The sequence below is a fragment of the Homo sapiens genome, chromosome 12 (assembly GCF_000001405.40).
Source record: "Homo sapiens chromosome 12, GRCh38.p14 Primary Assembly".
Taxonomy (NCBI): Eukaryota; Metazoa; Chordata; class Mammalia; order Primates; family Hominidae; genus Homo; species Homo sapiens.
In genome coordinates, this window is record NC_000012.12 from 132978389 (window position 1) to 132997445 (window position 19057).

The window sequence follows — 19057 nt, forward strand, 5'->3', positions numbered from 1 at the left end:
TGAAACCCTGTTTCTACTAACAATACAAAAAATTAGCCGGGCATGGTGGTGTGCGCCTGTAATCCCAGCTACTCAGGAGGCTGAGGCAGGAGAGTTGCTTGAACCCGGGAGGCAGAGGTTGCAGTGAGTCGAGATTGTGCCATTGCATTCCAGCTTGAGCAACAAGAGCAAAACTCCCTCTCAAAAAAAATAGATAAATAAACACAAAAGAAGACAGCAATGCAGGAAATTAGAGATAAAAACGCTTATAAGCCACTTCAAAAACAAAGCAAAATGACAGAAATAATATCTTCCGGCCAGGCACGGTGGCTCACACCTGTAATCCCAGCATTTTGGGAGGCTGAGACAGGTGGATCACCTGAGGTCAGGAGTTCGAGACCAGCCTGACCAATATGGTGAAACCCTCGTCTCTGTTAAAAATGCAAACATTAGCTGGGCGTGGTGGCACGCATCTGTAGTCCCAGCTACTCGGGAGGCTGAGGCAGTAGAATCACTTGAACCCGGGAGGCGGAGGTTGCAGTGAGCTGAGATTGCGCCACTGCACTCCAGCCTGGGTGACAGAGCGAAACTCCATCTCAAAAAAAAAACTTCCTCATTAGTAGTTAATTTACATGTAAATGATAAACTTTTCAATCAAAAGACTTACATTTGAAGATTGAATAAAAATACATAATTCCACTATATGCTGTTATAAGAGACTGACTTTACATCCAAAAACACAAATAGTAGAAAGTGAAAGGATTGAAAAAGATATTCCATGTAAATATCCCAAAGAAAGCAGTGATGGTTGCATCAGACAAAATAGCCTTTAAACCAAAACAGATCACAAGACAAAGAATAACCTTGTAGATTAATAAAATATTCAACATAGGACATTATAATACTTATATATCTAATAACAGACCATAAAAATATATAAAGCAAAAACTGACAGAATTCATGAGAGCAATATTCTAGAGTAATAATTGAAGACTTCAATACCTCACTCTGTTTATGACTTAAGATATTTGCATCACTGTTGACAAGTGAAATCAATTTTTGTTTTCATTTTCTGTGATACTTTTTTAGGTTAACATAGTATTGTTATAATTGCTCCAGAAATTCGGAAGTTTTTTTGTTTGTTTGTTTGTTCTTTTTTGAAACGGAGTCTCATTCTGTTGCCAGGCTGGAGTGCAGTGGCGCGATCTCGGCTCACTGCAACTTCCGACTCCTGGGTTCAAGTGATTCTCCTGCCTCAGCCTCCTGAGTAGCTGGGATTACAGGTGCCCACCACCACGCCCGGCTAATTTTTGTATTTTTAGTAGAGACGGGGTTTCACCATGTTAGCCAGGATGGTCTTGATCTCCTGACGTCGTGATCCGTCTGCCTCGGCCTCTGAAAGTACTGGGATTACAGGTGTGAGCCATCACGCCCGGCCAGAAGTATTATTTATTCTGGAATAATTTATGAGCATTGGGATTATCTGGTCTTTGAAGTTTGGCAGCATTTTCCTATGAAACCATCAAAATCTGTTACTTTTTTGTGGGGTGGTTCTTCACAAGTTTATTTGATGAAAAGTAGGCTGTTGAGTCTTCTGAGGTAAATCTTGGAAAATTCAATTTTCCTAAGAATTTAATCATTTCATCTAGGTCTTCAAAATGTTTTTGCCTAGAGTTGGGCAAAAACGTCTTTTATGATTTAAAAAACATCTATCTTTTGTTTCAGTAGTTATTTCCTCTTTGTATGTCTTATTTTGTATATTTGTACTTTTTCTCTTTTTGCTGGATTAGAACACCGAGTTTTCTATTTTGTTAACGTTCTTCAAAAACAAATGTTTTTATTTATTAGTTCTGCTGTTGTTCTGCTTTCGACCTCATTTATTTCTGCTTTTATCTCTCTCATTTCCAATAGTCAAACTCAGTGGCCTTAATTAAGTTTTATTGAAATACAATTCACATGCCACAAAATGTGTCGATTGTAAGTATTCAATTCAGTGATACTAGTAAATTCATAGAGTTTTACTACCATGACCACAATGCAGCCTTAGAACATCTTCATTACCAAAGTTCTTTATGCCCATTTACATTTAACCCCTGTTCCTACTCCTATCCTTAGGCAACTACTGATGTGATTTTTCACTCTACAAATTTGCATTTTCTAGACATTTTATATCCACAAAATCATACATGCGATGACTTTTCTGTCTAGCTTCTTGACATCAGCATCATGTTTTTGAGGTTTATTCACATCGCATGTATCAGCACTTCCCCCCTCTTCTAATTGCTGAACAGTATTCCATCGTTATGGCTATACCACGTTTGTTTATCCAGGCATCATTTGATGGACATTTGAGTTGCTTTCACTTTTCTTTATCCAGTCAGCAGTTGATAGACATTTTGGGTTGTTTCCAGTTTCTGGCTATTATAAATAATATTGCTGGTCGGGTGCGGTGGCTCACGCCTGTAATCCCAGCACTTTGGGAGGCCGAGGTGGGCGGATCACGAGATCAGGAGATCGAGACCATCCTGGCTAACACGGTGAAACCCCGTCTCTACTAAAAATACAAAAAATTAGCTAGGCATGGTGGCGGGCACCTGTAGTCCCAGCTACTCAGGAGGCTGAGGCAGGAGAATGGCGTGAACCCGGGAGGCGGAGCTTGCAGTGAGCCGAGATCGTGCCACTGCACTCCAGCCTGGGCCAGAGTGAGACTCCGTCTCAAAATAATAATAATAATAATAATAATAATAATAATATTGCTATAAACATTATCATAAACGACTTTATACAGACATAAGTTTTCATTTTCTCTTAGCTATCTAGAAGTAGCATTGCAGAGTCATGCGGTAAGTTTATGGTTAACTTTTTAAGTAATGGTCAAACTGTTCTCCAAAGTGACTGCTATTTTTACATCTCACTAGCAAAGCATGAAGGCTCGTTTCTCCACATACTTGCCTACACTAGGTATTGTCTGTTTTTCTTATTATAGCCATTCTATTGAATTTTTACTGGTATCTCATTGTGGTTAACTTTGCTGTTCCCTAATGAATAATGACGTTGAGCATCTTTGTATGTGCTTATTAGCCATTTCTGTAGCTTCTTTGGTGAAAAAAATATATATATATTCAGATCTTTTGCTCATTTGCAAAATTGGGTTGCTTGTCTTATTATTGAGTCATAAGTGTTCTGAATACAAGTCTTTTATCAGATAAATGATTTGCAAATATTTTCTTTTAGACTGTGGCTTGTCTTCTCACTTTCTTCATACTGTCTTTTGAAACAAAAGTTTTTATATATTGACAAAGTTCAATTTATCAATGCTTTTATTTCATGGATCATGCTTTTGTTGTTATATCTGGAATCTCTTTACCCAACCCAAATTTACAACAATTTTCTATTGTATTATAGTTTTAGCTCTTACTTTTAGGTCTCTGACCCGTTTTCAGCTAATTTTCATGTATGACGTGTAAGGCAAGTCTTCTCCTTCTCCTCCTTTGGCATATAGGCATCCATTTACCCAGAATCATTTACTAAAGTCTACCTTTCATCATTGAATTATCTGGGTAACTATGTCAAAAATTAATTGGCCATAAATGTTACAATGTATTTCTAGATCCTTAGTTATTTTCCATTGATCTATTTACTTATCCTCTTGCTAATATCACACTGTCTTGATCACTGTGGCTTTATAGCAAATTTAAAATCAAGTAGTGTAAGTCTTACAACTTTATTCTTTTTCAAAATTGTTTTGCTATTCTATGTTCTTTGCATGTCATTATAAATTTTATGTTCAGCTTGCCAATTTTTACCAAAAAGTCTGGTGGGATTTTGACAGGAATTGCATTTAATTCATAGATCAATGTGAGGAGAATTGCCATATTGATAGTATTCAGCCTTTCAATCCACTAATATGAAATGTCTTTGTTTATTTAAATATTTGTTAATATCTCTGAGTAATGTTTTGTAGTTTCCAACATACAAGTTTGTACTTCCTTTTTTATTTTTTATTTTATTATTTTTTTTGAGACGGAGTCACGCTCTGTTGCCAGGCTGGAGTGCAGTGGCACAATCTCGGCTCACTGCAACCTCCGCCTCCTGGGTTCAAGCGATTCTCCTGCCTCAGCCTCCCGAGTAGCTGGGACTACAGTCGCCTGCCACCATGCCTGGCTAATTTTTGTATTTTTAGTAGTGACGGGGTTTCACCATGTTAGCCAGGATGGTCTCGATCTCCTGACATCGTGATCCACCAGCCTCAGCCTCCCATAGTGCTGGGATTACAGGCATGAGCCACCGTGCCCGGCCACATTTTTACTTCTTTTATTAAATGTATTACTATTTTATTCTTTTTGATGCTGTGAAAGAAATTGTTTACTTAACTTCATTTTAAGATTATTCACTGCTAGTATATAGAAGTATAGTGTTTATATATTGATCTTGTACCCTTTGACCATGCTAACATCATTTATTAGTTTCAGTGGTTTTATTATTATTATTGATTCCTAGAAATTTTTTATATAGAGGATTATGTCATCTGTGAATAAAGCCAATTTTACTTTTTTTTCCAATCTGGATGCTTCCTTTTCTTTCTTTTCTTTTGCTTGATTGCACCAGCTAGAACATCCAGTACAACATTGAACAGAACCAACTAGAACATCCAGTGCAACGTTGAACAGTATTAGCCAGAACATCCAGTACAATGTTGAACAGAACCAACTAGAACATCCAGTTCAACGTGGAACAGAACCGGCTAGAACATCCAGTACAACGTGGAACAGAACCGACTAGAACATCCAGTGCAACGTGGATCAGAACCGGCTAGAACATCCAGTGCAACGTGGATCAGAACCGGCTAGAACATCCAGTGCAACGTGGAACAGAACTGGCTAGAACATCCAGTGCAACGTGGAACAGAACCGGCTAGAACATCCAGTGCAACTTTGAACAGAAGTGTTGAAAGCAGACACCCTTGCTTGTTTCCTATTATAGGGGAAAAACACTCAGTCTTTCACCATTCTGTAGGATGTTAGCTAGGGTTTTTAAAAAATGCCCATTATCAAGTTGAGGAAATTCCCTTTTATTCCTAGATTGTTGAGAGTTTTTGCCATGAATAGACGTTGGTTTTGCTAAATGCCTTTTGCTGCATCTATTGAAATAGTCACATAGTTTTTGTTTTTTATTATACTGATTTTCAGTGTTGAACCAATCTTTCATTCTTGGTATATATTCCATTTGGTCATTTTACAAAATCCTTTTTGTATGTTGCCAGATTCAGCTTACTAACATTTTTCTTAAACAGCTTTATTAAGTTATAAAGTGATATAGAATAAACTGCATGTATTTAAACAATTTGGTAAGTTTTCACATGAGTAACCACCTGCAAAACCAGTTTCAGGAGAAAAAGAGTTTTCTCAAGCCTTAAGAATTTTTGTGTCTATGTCTATGGTACTACACACCATAGGAATATTGGTGTGTAGCTCTGTTTTGTTTTTCCCTCGTGATGTCTTTGTCTAGCTCTGGTATGAGAATAATACTGGCTTCATAGAATAAGTTGGGAAGTATTCCCTCTCATCTATTTTCTGAAAGAATTTGTAAAGAATTATCCTTTCTTCTTTAAGTATTTGATGGAACTCACTAGTGGAGCCATCCATTCCCAGATTTTCTCTGTGGGAAAATTTTTAATTAATTAATTTCTTTTTTTGAGACAGGGTCTCATTGTGTTGCCCAGACTGGAACGCAGTGGTGGGATCATGGCTCACTGCAGCCTCAACCTCTCAGGATCAAGCATTTCTCCTGCCTCAGCCTCCCAAGTAGCTGGGATTACAGGTGTATGCCACCACACCTGGCTAATTTTTTTAATTTTTAATTATTATGAGTACATAGTAGGTGTATACATTTATGGATTACATGAGATATTTTGATATAGAATGCATATTATAATGCAATGATTATTATGCAATGCATAAAAATCACATCAGGGAAAATGGGGTACCCTTAAGCATTTATCCTTTGTGTTACAAGCAATCCAATTATACTTTTAGTTATGTTAAAATGTACAATTAAATTATTTTTGAGTATATCCTGTTGTGCTAGAAAATACTAGGTCTTATTCTAACTATTTTTTCTGCCAAATGACTATTTCCATCCCCCACAGTGTCCCACTACCCTCCCAGCTGCTGGTAACCATCTTTCTACTCTCTATCACCATGAGTTCAATTGTTTTAATTTTTGGCTCTCACAAATAAGTGAGAATATGTGAAGTTTGTCTTCTCTGCCTCGCTTATTTCACTTAATATAATGATCTCCAGTTCCATCCATGTTGTTGCAAATGACAGGATCTCATTCTTTTTTATGGCTTCCTAGTACTCCATTGTGTATATGTACCACATTTTCTTTATTCATTAACCTGTTGATTGACACTTCGGTTACTTCCAAATCTTGGCTATTGTGAATAGTGCTGCAGTCAACAAGGGAGTGCAGACAGCTCTTGGATATACTGATTTTCTTTCTTTCGGGTATATACCTAGGAGTGGGATAGCTGCATTGTATGGTAGCTCTATTTTTATTTTTTTGAGGAACCTCCAAACTGTTCTCCATAGTGGTTGTACTAATTTACATTCCCACCAAGAATGTACCAGGGTTCCCTTTTCCCCATATCCTCACCAGCATTTATTATTGCTTGTCTTTTGGATAAAAGCCATTTTAACTGGGGTGAGATAATATCTCGTTGTAGTTTTGATTTGCATTTCTCTGATGATCAATTATATTGTGTACCTTTTCATATACCTGTTTGCCATTTGTATGTCTTCTTTTGAGAAATGTCTATTCAGATGTTTGGCACTTTTTTTTTTTTTTTTTTTTTGAGACAGGGTTTCACTCCTGTCATCGAGGCTGGAGTGCAATGGTGCAATCTCGGCTCACTGCAACCTCCACCTCACGGGCTCAAGCAATTCTGCTGCCTTAGCCCCCCAAGTAGCTGAGACTACAGATGCATGCCACCACATCCGGCTTACTTTTGATATGTTTTGTAGAGACGAGGTTTCACCATGTTGCCCAGGCTAGTCTCCAACTCCTGGGCTCATGCGATCCACCCACCTCAGCCCTCCAAAATGCTGGGATTACAGACGTGAGCCATCGTGCCTGGCCATTTTGCACATTTTTAAATCTCAAAAGGCCAATCTACAATAGTGGTGTTATCTGTAGGAGTAACTGGGGAAGTTGCGTGTCTTGTGACCAATCCACATCTTAGCAGAATTCAGGCTCCTCTCCTCCCGCTAGCTTGGTGGTCTCTCATAGGTTTTACAAAGGCAGTTGGGTTTTGGAAAAGGGCTATCATTTGAACTATAACCTAAATGTCTTCCAAAGTTAGCTTGGCCTAAGCCCAGGAATAATGAAGGCATCTTGACAGCCAAAGGCGCGCAGAGTTGGGGGTTTGGTTAGATTAGACCTCCCCCACTGCTATAATTTTCTCACTGATATAATTTTTGCAAAGGCAGTTTCATTACTGGTGTGGTTCTATTTATTTGTTTTTCACATCTACTATAGTTTCTCCTTTATGAAGTTGGTTACTGTATTATTTGGTGCACTGATATTCAAAACTGTTATTTAACCCTATGAACTGCAGCTTTTAGCTTTACAAAGCGTCCTTTTTTGCTGTGCCTTCTGGTCTGAACCCTATCTTGTTTGATATCAAAACCTCAGCACGCCTGCGTCTCTGCTGGGGTCGGACTCTGAGTCAGTTCTACAGGCCCTGGGAAACTGGGCGTCCAGGCTCCGAGGATGGTACTGAACCTGGCGCAGCCGTGGGAGGGTGAACCAGGTGCCGCTGGCGGAGCCCCCTCCCAGCCTTCCTTTCCCGTCAGGCTGTGCCCCTCTCTAGATCCGCGGCAGCTGGAAGCCAGGCCTGTAACGAGGGAGCCTTCTCCGAGGATTGTGGGAGATGTAGTTTTTCCGGCGCCTTCGCGTCCTGGCGCATCGACGCAGGACGCACTTCCGCATGCGCCGCACTCCCGGCCTTAGTCGGGTGCGCGCGTGCAGGGCTGTTTCCGGCTTAGACTCAGTGGACCGGAATCTGGCCAGCGGGTGTACCTGGCTGAGTCTCTGTGGCCGCGGAGGCGCGGAGCTAAGCGGCTCGGATTATCCTGGGCAGACCAGAGACTTGACCAGCTAAACACTTCCGTCGGTCCGGGGCGTGGACGGGGCCAGATCAGCCTCCTGCTCTCCCGAGTCAGGGCCACGGAAAGGCACAAATCCATCCGTGCGACTCCTGGTACCCAGACCGGGAGGTTGTCTAGTCACGCGCGGTCTGTGTTGGGCGAGAGCTGAGGAGCCGGCGTCCCTGCCAACGACTCGGCCCCGGGACGGTCAGGAGCCTGGGGCCCTGGTCCCGCACCTGTCTTCGGGCGGACGCATCCCTCACGGTCTCTCCGCAGCCCGCGGGTCCTGCCCCCGCAGGCAGCGCGCGAACGTGGGCGTGGGGATGGCCACCAGTTTCCGGACAGCTTCGTGCTGGGTAAGTAGAGACTTTCCGTGTTTAAAATTCGACTGGATACTGAGGGTGGCCACGTTAATCTCTTCAGGGTTACTCCGGGAACTGAACTCACATTCAGCTGTAATTGTGTGCGTAGTTTACTAGACTACCCTCCCCACCAAACCAAAGCGCCTCTGAAGCTCGCCCAAGCTCTGGCCCTGCAGAAACGTGCCTGTGGTATTCTGTGACGGGCAGTTATACTGCACTTCATGGCCAGCTGCGGGCCCTGAAGTCTGAGGATCCTCCATCATTTCATGTTTTCTACACAAAGTTGTCTTATGGAGACCCTTAGAACTTAGCTGGAGAAATGATCAGTTCCTCCTTTTTCGTTTGGCCAAATGCTTGTTTATGGAGTGTCCTTTTGTCTGCTGGACTCTAAGGCTGGTGCTGGCAATGCAGAGATAAATTATGTATGTTCCTAATTTTAGAGGAGCTTTGGTTTGGTGGAGAGGGTAGTCTAGTGAACTATGGACGCAATTACAGGTGAATGAATAGGGAGAAAAGGCTAGGAGCGGAGCTCGAGAGTCCGAAAGGTAAGGGGCGGGCCAGTGGATCATCGGGACTTTATGAATTATTGATGGAGTGAACCAGAGGGGAGTCTTTACAAGTGATTTGATTGCCAAATCCTTTGCCCTCGGTGAGTGGTGTTGACGACGTTGCCGGATGTGGTGCTCTACCATTGAGCTATACAGCCGGAGACTAGGAATGCTATTGGAAGAGGGACCCTGGGAATGACTTTCGCAGGTGTTGAATATCCAATGCCTGTATTTCAGCCTGTAACTCACATGGGAGGTCTAAACTGGAAATACATAAAGACACCTTATTGTATTCGTGGAAGCTCAGAGTGTGACCAACTGGAACCCTCAAGAGGACCGAGGTGAGGACTCAGGTTAATGAAAGGAAAGGACACACGGTGGAGAAAGGCTGTTGTGCTAAAGAAACGAGAGAAAGTTAGGAGTGGATTTCTCCCCCTGTGAGTTTGTTCCTTTGTCAGAGATCAGTTGACTATATTTATATGGGTCTATTTCTGGGCTCTTTATTGAGTTCTATTGATCTATTTGTTGTTTCACTAATACCACACTGCCACACTGTCTTGATTTTTGTAGCTTTGTAATAAGTCTTTTTTTATTTTTTTGAGACGGAGTCTCGCTCTGTCGCCCAGGCTGGAGTGCAGTGGCGCGATCTCGGCTCACTGCAACCTCTGCCTCCCGGGTTCGAGCGATTCTTGAGCCTCAGCCTCCCGAGTAGCTGGGATTACAGGCACATGCCACCCAGTCCGGGTAATTTTTGTATATTTTGTAGCGATGGAGTTTAGCCATGTTGCCCAGGCTGGTCTTTATAGTAAATCTTTTGTTTTTTTTTCAAGGCAGGATCTCACTCTGTTGCCCAGGTTGGAGTGCAGTGGAACAGTCACAACTCACTGCAGCCTCGAACTCCCGGGCTCAAGGGATCCTCCACCTCAGCCTCCTGAGTAGCTGGGATTACAGGCATATGCCACCACATCAGGCTAATTAAAAATTTTTTTTTTTTTTTGTACAGATAGGGTCTCACTGTGTTGCCCTGGCTGGCCTGCAACTCTTGGCCTCAAGCACTTCTTCCTCCTTGGCCTCCCAAAGCATTGGTGGGATAACAGGTGTGAGCCACCATGCCCAGCCTATAAGTCTTGAAGTCAGGTTCATTCTCCCAAATGTATTCTTCTGCTTCCGTATCCTGTTAGCTAATCTAAGTCTTTTGTCTGTCTGAACTTTATAATCAGTTTGTCAACATCTGCAAAATAACTTGCTGGGATTTTAACTGACAGTGCATTCAATCTGTAGATCAAGTTGGGAAGAGCTGAAGTCTTGAATATTGAGTCTTCCTATCCATGAACATGTTATATCTCTCTATCTAGTTCTTAGTTTTCATTCAGCAGTGTTTGGTAGTTTTTCTCATATAGATTTTATATAGTATCATTATATATTTTGTTAGACTTACACCTAAGTATTTAATTTTTGTGGGTGCTACTGTAAATGGTATTGTGTTTTTTATTTCAAATTCAGCTTACACCTGTGTACAGGAAAGGGGTTGACTTTTGTATATTAACTTTGTATCCTGCAACCTTGGTATAATCATGTAGTTCCAGGAGTCTTTCGGTGAATTTTTTTTTTTTTTTTTTTTTTTTTTTTGAGACAGAGTCTCGCTGTTGGCCAGGCTGGAGTGCAGTGGCACAATCTCGGCTCACTGCAACCTCCACCTCCTGGGTTCAAGCGATTCTCCTGCCTGAGCCTCCTGAGTAGCTGGTACTACAGGCATGTGCCACCACGCCCATCTAATTTTTTTGTATTTTTAGTAGAAATGGAGTTTCACTGTGTTAGCAGGATGGTCTCGATCTCCTGACCTCGTGATCAGCCCACCTCGGCCTCCTAAAGTGCTAGGATTACAGCCATGAGCCACCGTGCCGGGTCTGGTGAATTCTTTTGGACTTTGCACAATTATGCCATCTGTGAACAAAGTTTTATTCCTTCCTTCACAGTCATTATACATTTTACAGGTTAAGTATCTTTTATTCAAAATGCTTAAGACCAGAATTGTTTTGGATTTTGGATTTTTTCAGATCTTGGACTATTTACATATACATAAGATATCTTGGGGATGGGACCCAAGTCTAAACACAGAATTTGTTTATGTTTCATATATACTTTATACGTACAGCCTGAAGGTAATTTTATACAGTATTTTAAATAATTTTGTGTGTGAAACAAAGGTTGTATTAAGTTAATGTGTGGGATTTTCCACGTGTGAGGACTCAAAACGTTTTGAATTTTGGAGCATTTAGATTTCAGGTTTTTGGAACAGGGATTCTCATCCTGTATTTTCTGTTCTTGTTTTTTTGCCTCAGATAGGACTTCCAGTACAATGTTGAAAAAGAGTGGTGAGAGGGGATTAAAGATACATTTTGCCTTGTTGATCTTAGTGGGAAAGCTTCAAGTTTCTCACAGTTAAGTATGATGTTAGTTGTAGCATTTTTCTTGGTAGATATTCTCTATCAAGTTGAGAAAGACCCTTGTTCCTAGTTTAGTGAGGGTTTTTGTTGTTGTTAATTGTGAATGGGGTTGGATTTTGTCAGATTTTTTTTCTGGGCCAGATGTGGCTCACACCTGTAATCACTTTGGGAGGCTGAGGCAGGAGGATAGCTTTAGCCTAGGAATTCAGGACCAGCCTGGGCAACATAGTGAGACCCCATCTCTACAAAAAATTAAAAAACAAAATAGCTGGGCGTGGTGACACATGCCTGTAGTCTCAGCTACTGAGGAGGCTGAAGTGGAAGGATTGCTTGAGCCTGGGAGGTTGAGGCTGCTGTGAGCCATGTTTGCACCACTGCACTCCAGCCTGGGTGACAGAGCGAGACCCTGTCTCAAAAAAGAAAAAAAGTTTTTTCTGCATCTATCTATGCTTTTTCTTCTTTAGTCATTTGATACGATGGAACTGATTCAAGTATTGAACCAACCTTACATACCAGGAATAAATCCCACTTGGCTGTGGTGTACACTTGTTTTTATACATTGTTGTATTTTATTTTCTAGTATTTTGTTGAGGATTTTTGTATCTATATTTATGAGATAATTTTTCTGTAGTTTTCTAGGGTTTCTGTCTGGTTTTGGTATTAGAGCGATGCTGTCTTTATAGACTGAGTTAGGATTCCCTCTGCCTTTATCTTCTGAAAAATATTGTAGAGGGAAAAAAAGATTGGTGTGATTTTTTTCCTTAAATGTTTGGTAGACTTCACCAGTGAGTGAACCCATCTTGGCCTGGCACTTTCTGGTTTGGGTGATTCTTAATTTTTGATTCAATTTAGGCTTATTAGAGTGTCTGTTTCTTTTTGTTCAGTTTTGGCAGATTGTGTCTTTCAGGGATTTGGTCTGTTTCATCTAGGTCATGAAATGTGTGGACGTAGAATTGTACATAGTATGATGTTCCTTTATTGTCCTTTTTTCTTTTTATTTTTTTGATAGAGTCTCACTCTGTCACCCAGGCTGGAGTGCAGTGGCATGATCATGGCTCACTGCAACCTCTGCCTCCCAGGTTCAAGCGATTCTCCTGCCTCAGCCTCCCGAGTAGCTGGAAGTACAGGTGTGTGCCACCATGCCCGGCTAATTTTTGCGTTTTTAGTAGAGACAGGGTTTCACTATGTTGGCCAGGCTGGTCTCGAACTCCTGACCTCAAGTGATCCACCCACCTCAGCCTCCCAAAGTGCTGGGATTACAGGCATGAGCCACTGTGCCCAGCCTCCATTACTATTTTGAACAGACTAGGTCAACTAAGTATAAGAAAAATAGCTAGGCATGGCTGGGCGTGGTGGCTCAGGCCTGTAATCCCAGCACTTTGGGAGGCCGAGGCGGGTGAATCACGAGGTCAGATGTTCAAGACCAGCCTGATCAACATGGTGAAACCCTGTCACTACTAAAAATACAAAAGTTAGCGCCGGGCATGGTGGCACACACCTGTAATCCCAGCTGCTCAGGAGGCTGAGGCAGGAGAATCGCTTGAACTCAGGAAGCAGAGGTTGCAGTAAGCCAAGATCGTGCCACTGCACTCCAGCCCGGGCGACAGAGCGAGACTCAACAACAACAACAAAATAAAAATAGCTAGGCATGGTGGCTGATGCCTGTAATCCCAGCACTTTGGGAGACTGAAGCCAGGAGTTTGAGACCAGCCTGGGCAACGCAGAGACCTTGCCTATACAAAACAACAACAACAACAAAAAAAAAAAAAACCTAAAAAAAAAACCAGGTGTGCTAGTGTGCACCTGTAGCCCCAGCTACTTGGGAGGTGAGATGGTGAGGTGAGCCCAGGAGTTCGAGGCTGCTGTGCCACTGTACTCCAGCTTAGGCAACAGAGCGAGACCGTCTCAAAAAAATGATCAGAAAAAAAATTTTAATTTTACTTTCACTTATTCTTTCTTTGATGTTCTCACTTTTTAAAATATATATCTGTGGCCGGGCCTGGCGGCTCATCCCTGTAATCCCAGCACTCTGGGAGGCTGAGGCCGGCGGGTCATTTGAGGTCAGGAGTTCGAGACCAGCCTGGCCAACATGGTGAAACCCTGTCTCTACTACAAATACAAAAATTAGCTGGGCATGGTGGTGCGTGCCTGTAGGCCTGGCTACTTGGGAGGCTGAGGTATGAGAATCGCTTGAACCCAGGAGGCGGGGGTTGCAGTGAGCCAAGATCATGCCACTGCACTCCAGCCTGGGCAACAGGGTAAGACCCTATCTCAAAAAAAAAAAAGTGTATCTGTGTTTCTGACCTGTATTTTCCTTTTCTGCCTAGTTAAGGCAAGTTTACTTGAAATAGCAATAAATTATCTTAGTTTTTGTTTGAGAAAGACTTTTTTTTACTTTTGAAGGATAATTTTGCAGGGTACAGAATTCTGTTTTGATGATTTTTTTTTCTCTAAACACCTTAACTGTTTCACTCCATTTTCTTGCTTGTGTGGTTTCTGTAGGTAAGGTATTTTTTTTCATCTCTGGCTTATCTTTGATTTTTTGTGTTTTAAAAATGATATGCCTACGTGCAGGTTTTTTGGCATTTATCTTCTTGGTATTCTCGGATTTTCCTCCATCTGTGATTTGGTGTCTGACATTACTTCAGCGAAATTTTCAGTAATTATTGTTTCATATATAGATGCTCCTTGACTTGATGATGTGGTTACATCCTGATAAACTCATCATAAATTGAAAATCTCTTTGTCAGAAGTGCATTTTCGACTTACAATATGTTCAACTTATAATAGGTTTATCCAGATGGAGCCTCATCATAAGTTGGGGAACGTACTGAAGTGTATTGCTTCTGCGCCATTGTAAAATTGAAAAATACTAAGTCAAACCACTGTGCGTCAGGCACCGACTGTCTTTCTTCTGTTCTTTTCCTTTCCTTCGGGTATTTCCATTGTGCATATCTACACCTTTTGTGGCTGTCCATCTTGGATATTCTGTTCTTTTTTTTTTTCCCCAGTGTTCTCTTTGCTTGAAGGTTTCTGTTGATACATCCTTAAGTTCAAAGATTTTTTTCCTCAATCTCGTGCAGTCTACATAATACATAAGCCCATCAAAGGCATTCTTCACTTCTGTACAGTGTTTTTGATCACTAGTATTTCTTTTTTTTTTTTTTTGAGATGGAGTCTCACTTTCTTGCCCAGGCTGGAGTGCAGTGGTGCGATCTGGGCTCACTGCAGCCTCTACCTCTCAGGTTCAAGCCATTCTTGTGCCTCAGCCTCCTGAGTAGCTGGGACTACAGGTGCGCACCACCGTGCCTAGCTAATTTTTGTATTTTTAGTAGAGACAGAGTTTCAGTATGTTGGTTAGGCTGGTTTCGAACTTCTGACCTCAAGTGATCTACCCACCTCAGCCTCTCAAAGTGCTGGGATTACAGGTGTGAGCCACTACGCCTGGCCTGCCCATCTGTTCTTACATGCTGCCTACTTTATTCACTAGAGCCCATAACATATTATTCATGGTTGTTTTAAGTTTTGTCTGATACCTTCAACATCCCTATCATGTCTGGTTCTGATGCTTGCCCTGTCTGTGTTTTTGTTTTTGTTTTTATTTTTTTTTTTGAGATGGAGTCCAGGCTGGAGTGCAGTGGTGTGATCTTGGCTCACTACAACCTCCGCCTGTTGGGTTCAAGTGATTCTTCTGCCTCAGCCTCCCGAGTAGCTGGGACTACAGGTGCACTCCACCATGCCCGGCTGATTTTTGTATTTTTAGTAGAGACGGGGTTTCACCATACTGGCCAGGCTGATCTCGAATTCCTGACCTCAGGTGATCTACCCCCCTCGGCCTCCCAGAGTGCTGGGATTACAGGCGTGAGCCACGGCGCGTGGTTGCCCTATGTTTTTTTGCCTTTTAGTATTGCCTTGTCCCTTTACATTCATAGCTAGACATGATGTACTGAGTAAAAGGAATTACTTTTAATAGTACTTTACTAATGTGGTGATGAGATGTCAGGAAAGGGTGAGCATTCTGTAGGCCCCTGATTAGGTCTGTCTCTTTGTGAGCCTGTTCTCCTGGACTCTCAACCTCACAAGTATTTCCCAGGCCACCCCCACCCCATCTCTTAGATGGGACAGGGTGGAATTTGGTATATCTCTCTTCCCTCAGGTTAGTTAAGCTCTGACAAAACCCCAATATATTAGGCTCTGGGAACCTGGTTGAGCTCCTGAAAGTAAAACTCAGAAAAGCTTGGGACTTTGTCTCCCTCCACTCCCACCATGACTGGGTCCCCCTGGACTTTTTAACTTCAAACATGTACACACCTAGCCTCTAGCAATTTGTCAGTTGCAGTTCAGGTATTTCTGTCCTGACGCTTTCTCACAGAGATTTGTGATCTGGTAACTACTGTGTTTCTGCCTGTCTCTAATTTTGGGGACAGTGGTTTGTTTGCCTTGTATCTTCACTTCTCTTTCAGATCTAAGAAGAGTTGTTGATTTTTCAGTTTGTTAAACTTTTTACTTGTTAGGACAGAGTGGCTACTTCCAAACTCTTTACATGCAGAACTGGAACTATTAATTTTTGATGATACAGTTGATTCTCTTAGAACACAATTCAGTCTCTTATAACCACCCACCCATCCCAATCCCCTCTCTCTCCTCGGAGGTAATCAGTTTGATAGATATTCTTCTAGGTCTTTCCCTGTACATTTTTAATGCATATGTTTATATCCTTAAAATGTTTGTGTTGGCTTATTTTTGTGAAGTTGTATGATATTCTGTTGTATGAACATTTCATAATTTGTCTGTTGTAATAATCTGTTATCAACATCAGTGTTTAGGTTGTTTTCAGTTACTGGTTATTTTAGATAACACGACTTTGAACCTTTTTGTACATTTGTTTTGGTAGACATCAACTATCATTTCTGTTAGGCACATACCAGGATTTTTCAACCTCAGCACTATTGACATTTTGGATGGAATAATTCTTTGTTGTGGAGGAACGTCCTGTGCATCGTGGGTTGCTGAGCAGCATTCCTGGCCCCGACTTATGTAGGTGCCAGTAGCACTGCCCCACTATGACAACCATAAAGGGCTCCAGACATTGTCAAATGCCCCCGGGGGGGCAAAATCTCCCTCCTGCCCATTGAGAACCACTGGGCACATACTTACGAATGATACTGTTGAGTCATTGTATACGTATATTTAAATTTAGTACATACTCTTAGTTTTCCAAAGTGGCGAAATGACTTCACATTCCCAGTACCAGGAATTGAGAACTGCATTTGCTCTATATCCCTTTTTATTTTCATGGAAAAGAGGTTTTCCACTTTTCAAAAAATTGCACCACCATAGTTGATGTGGGTGTGTTGTGTAGGCGTTAGCAGTATTGCCCTCACCATGCGCTCACTGGACAGTAACACAACCCCACGAGAAGGATGGTTTGCTCCACATCCTTAACAGACTTGTATTGGCCATTGTCCCGTTGATGCTCATTTCAGGGATCAGTTGTTTGTTTCTAAATGTCTCCTTGTTTTTTTTTTTTTTTAATTCCAGTTCTCCTTTTATTCACTGTATACAACTTCTCTGTATTTTAAATATTTACATAGTTATATATTATGATAGTTATTTGTAATATTACTTGTTTGCTAACATCATCTGGATCATCTGTGCATCTTTATCAATTATCTGCCTATTCCTTTTGTCAGTCATATTTTCCTGCCTCATGTCTCAAAGTTTTTAATTTTTTGCTGACATTGTTTTAAAAGGAATAACCACAGAGACTGAAGTTTACTGTTGTGGTTTTTTTTGAGACAGAGTCTTGCTCTGTCGCCCAGGCTGGAGTGCAGTGGCGCGATCTTGGCTCACTGCAACCTCCGCCTCCTGGGTTCAAGCAATTCTTCTGCCTCAGCCTACCCAGTAGCTGGGATTACAGTTGCCCACCACCATGCCTGGATAATTTTTGTATATTTAGTAGAGACGGGATTTCACCATGTTGGTCAGGCTGGTCTCAAACTCCTGGCCTCAGGTGATCCACCCACCTTGGCCTCCCAAAGTGCTGGGATTACAGGGGTGAGCCACCATACCTGACCTTACTGTTGTTTTATATCAGAGGATATTTCCCCTTTTCTCTGTCATGCAGTAGGGGAATGGCTGATCACCTCAATCAAAACAGGAATTGAGCTGTTTAGGGGCTGTACTCTGTTACCTGTGTCTTCGGGTTTCTGGATGGTATATTTATTGCAGGCTCCTCTCTACTGGTACTTTGTTTCTGGAGCACCTTGAGGCTGCGGGAGACTCAGTCTGCCATTCCAGCCCAGCCTGCAGCTTCTTGCACTGACCAGCACTCAACAGATGTCCCATGGGGAAAACTCACTGTCCACTGGGGCACATCAAAACCTTCACTGGTTTCTCTTTCCCCTAGAATAGTCCTCTGTCTGGGCCGAGCCCTTCCTTCACTGTTCTCAAGCTGAGCAAATGGCCCAGCGAGGTAACAGCCAGCAATTTTAGCTCACCCAAGAGGAGCTCTTTTCTCTCGCAATTTTAGTTTGTTTAGTCCTCCTTCCTTCCACAGGTCTCTGGTGTTTTAAAAAAGATAAGAGTATTTAGAATTTTCTAGTTGTAGCAGTAGTAGTCCAAGCATATGATTTTATTTTACATTATTGAGAGTTAGAATTATTAGGTGAAATAAAATGAAAAACTTTCTTGGTATTTTCATTGAGAATTTATCAAATGTGCAAATTAATTTGTGGAAAATTAATATCTTTGCCATGTAAGTCTACTCATCATAAACATGGCATGTTGCTTCAATCTCTTTGTACTTACATATTTTATCATGTGTATTTTTTGTTAGGTTTTCCTGCGTTTTAAAGCTTTTTATTCCTAAGTACTTTCTAGATTTGTTACTGTGATCATATAGGCATTTTCTTACTATATTTTCTGGTTGGTGACTGCTAATGTGCCAAAAAGCTATTCCTTATTGTTTTGTTTAAAACTGCTACCCTGTTGACTTTTCTTACTGGTTCTCATGGTTTTTTGTTTTGTTTTGTTTTGTTTTGTTTTCTTAGAAAGAAACATTTAATAGGGACTTAAGAACAGAAGCCATGTCTGTGTCTCATGCAGTGGCAAGACAAGGTGGTGGATCCCTGCACCATTACCCCCAGACCCAGTGCTTCTAGACCGTAGGGAGGGGTGGTTCAGAAGGGATGTGTAAGACAGTTGAAGTACAGTTACATCAAGGTTGTTTGACCTAAGGGTAGGATTTATGGTAAGTACCTGGTCTGACACAAGGAACAATAGATGAACTGGAAATCTTAGAGGCCTTCCCAGAACAGGGGCTAATCAGAAGCCCACACGGTAGATGAACTTCCAAGATGGAGTCCAGAACAGGGGTTAATCAGAAGCTCACATGGTAGATTAGTTTCCAAGATGGAGTCCAGAACAGGGGTTAATCAGAAGCCCACATGGTCGATGAGCTTCCAAGATGGAGTCCAGAACAGGGGTTAATCAGAAACCCACATGGTAGATTAGCTTCCAAGATGGAGTCCAGAACAGGGGTTAATCAGAAGCCCACATGGTCGATGAGC

General features: G+C 41.8%; 1 protein-coding gene, 1 long non-coding RNA gene and 1 pseudogene across 7 annotated transcripts in view, besides 3 other annotated features; 2 read left to right on the forward strand and 1 right to left on the reverse strand.

Moving 5' to 3' along the window:
* LOC124903064 (uncharacterized) overlaps positions 1 to 5322 on the forward strand; it is a 27162-nt gene extending 21840 nt beyond the window's left edge. Inside the window, exon 2 of the long non-coding RNA XR_007063552.1 lies at positions 4588 to 5322. This is a non-coding gene — a long non-coding RNA (uncharacterized LOC124903064). The remainder of the gene's footprint in view (positions 1 to 4587) is intronic.
* Positions 7600 to 8069: an enhancer, noted in NCBI's record as "active region_7395". NCBI's record gives its function as "activates an Ori minimal core promoter by ATAC-STARR-seq in GM12878 lymphoblastoid cells {active_cell/tissue: GM12878}" and the evidence as "EXISTENCE:reporter gene assay evidence [ECO:0000049][PMID:35858748]".
* Positions 7979 to 19057, forward strand: part of ZNF26 (zinc finger protein 26) — a 40736-nt gene continuing 29657 nt past the window's right edge. For 5 of the 6 annotated variants that reach the window (XR_007063124.1, NM_001256279.2, NM_001330513.2 and 2 more), the window contains exon 1: positions 7979 to 8485. Coding sequence is in view for 3 of the 6 variants with exons in the window: in NM_001256279.2 (NP_001243208.1) it covers positions 8453 to 8485 (33 nt within the window). In the remaining 3 variants the exon portion in view is untranslated. Of the gene's footprint in view, positions 8486 to 9276; positions 9381 to 19057 lie in introns of all 6 variants that reach the window. The other variant, NM_001330514.2, reaches the window with a different exon arrangement.
* Positions 8325 to 8824: an enhancer, noted in NCBI's record as "H3K27ac hESC enhancer chr12:133563299-133563798 (GRCh37/hg19 assembly coordinates)". NCBI's record gives its function as "activates a minimal SCP1, AML or CMV promoter by ChIP-STARR-seq in primed H9 embryonic stem cells {active_cell/tissue: H9 hESC(primed)}" and the evidence as "EXISTENCE:reporter gene assay evidence [ECO:0000049][PMID:30033119]".
* Positions 8550 to 8599: an enhancer, noted in NCBI's record as "active region_7396". NCBI's record gives its function as "activates an Ori minimal core promoter by ATAC-STARR-seq in GM12878 lymphoblastoid cells {active_cell/tissue: GM12878}" and the evidence as "EXISTENCE:reporter gene assay evidence [ECO:0000049][PMID:35858748]".
* On the reverse strand, positions 16802 to 16914 carry RNU4ATAC12P (RNA, U4atac small nuclear 12, pseudogene; annotated as a pseudogene).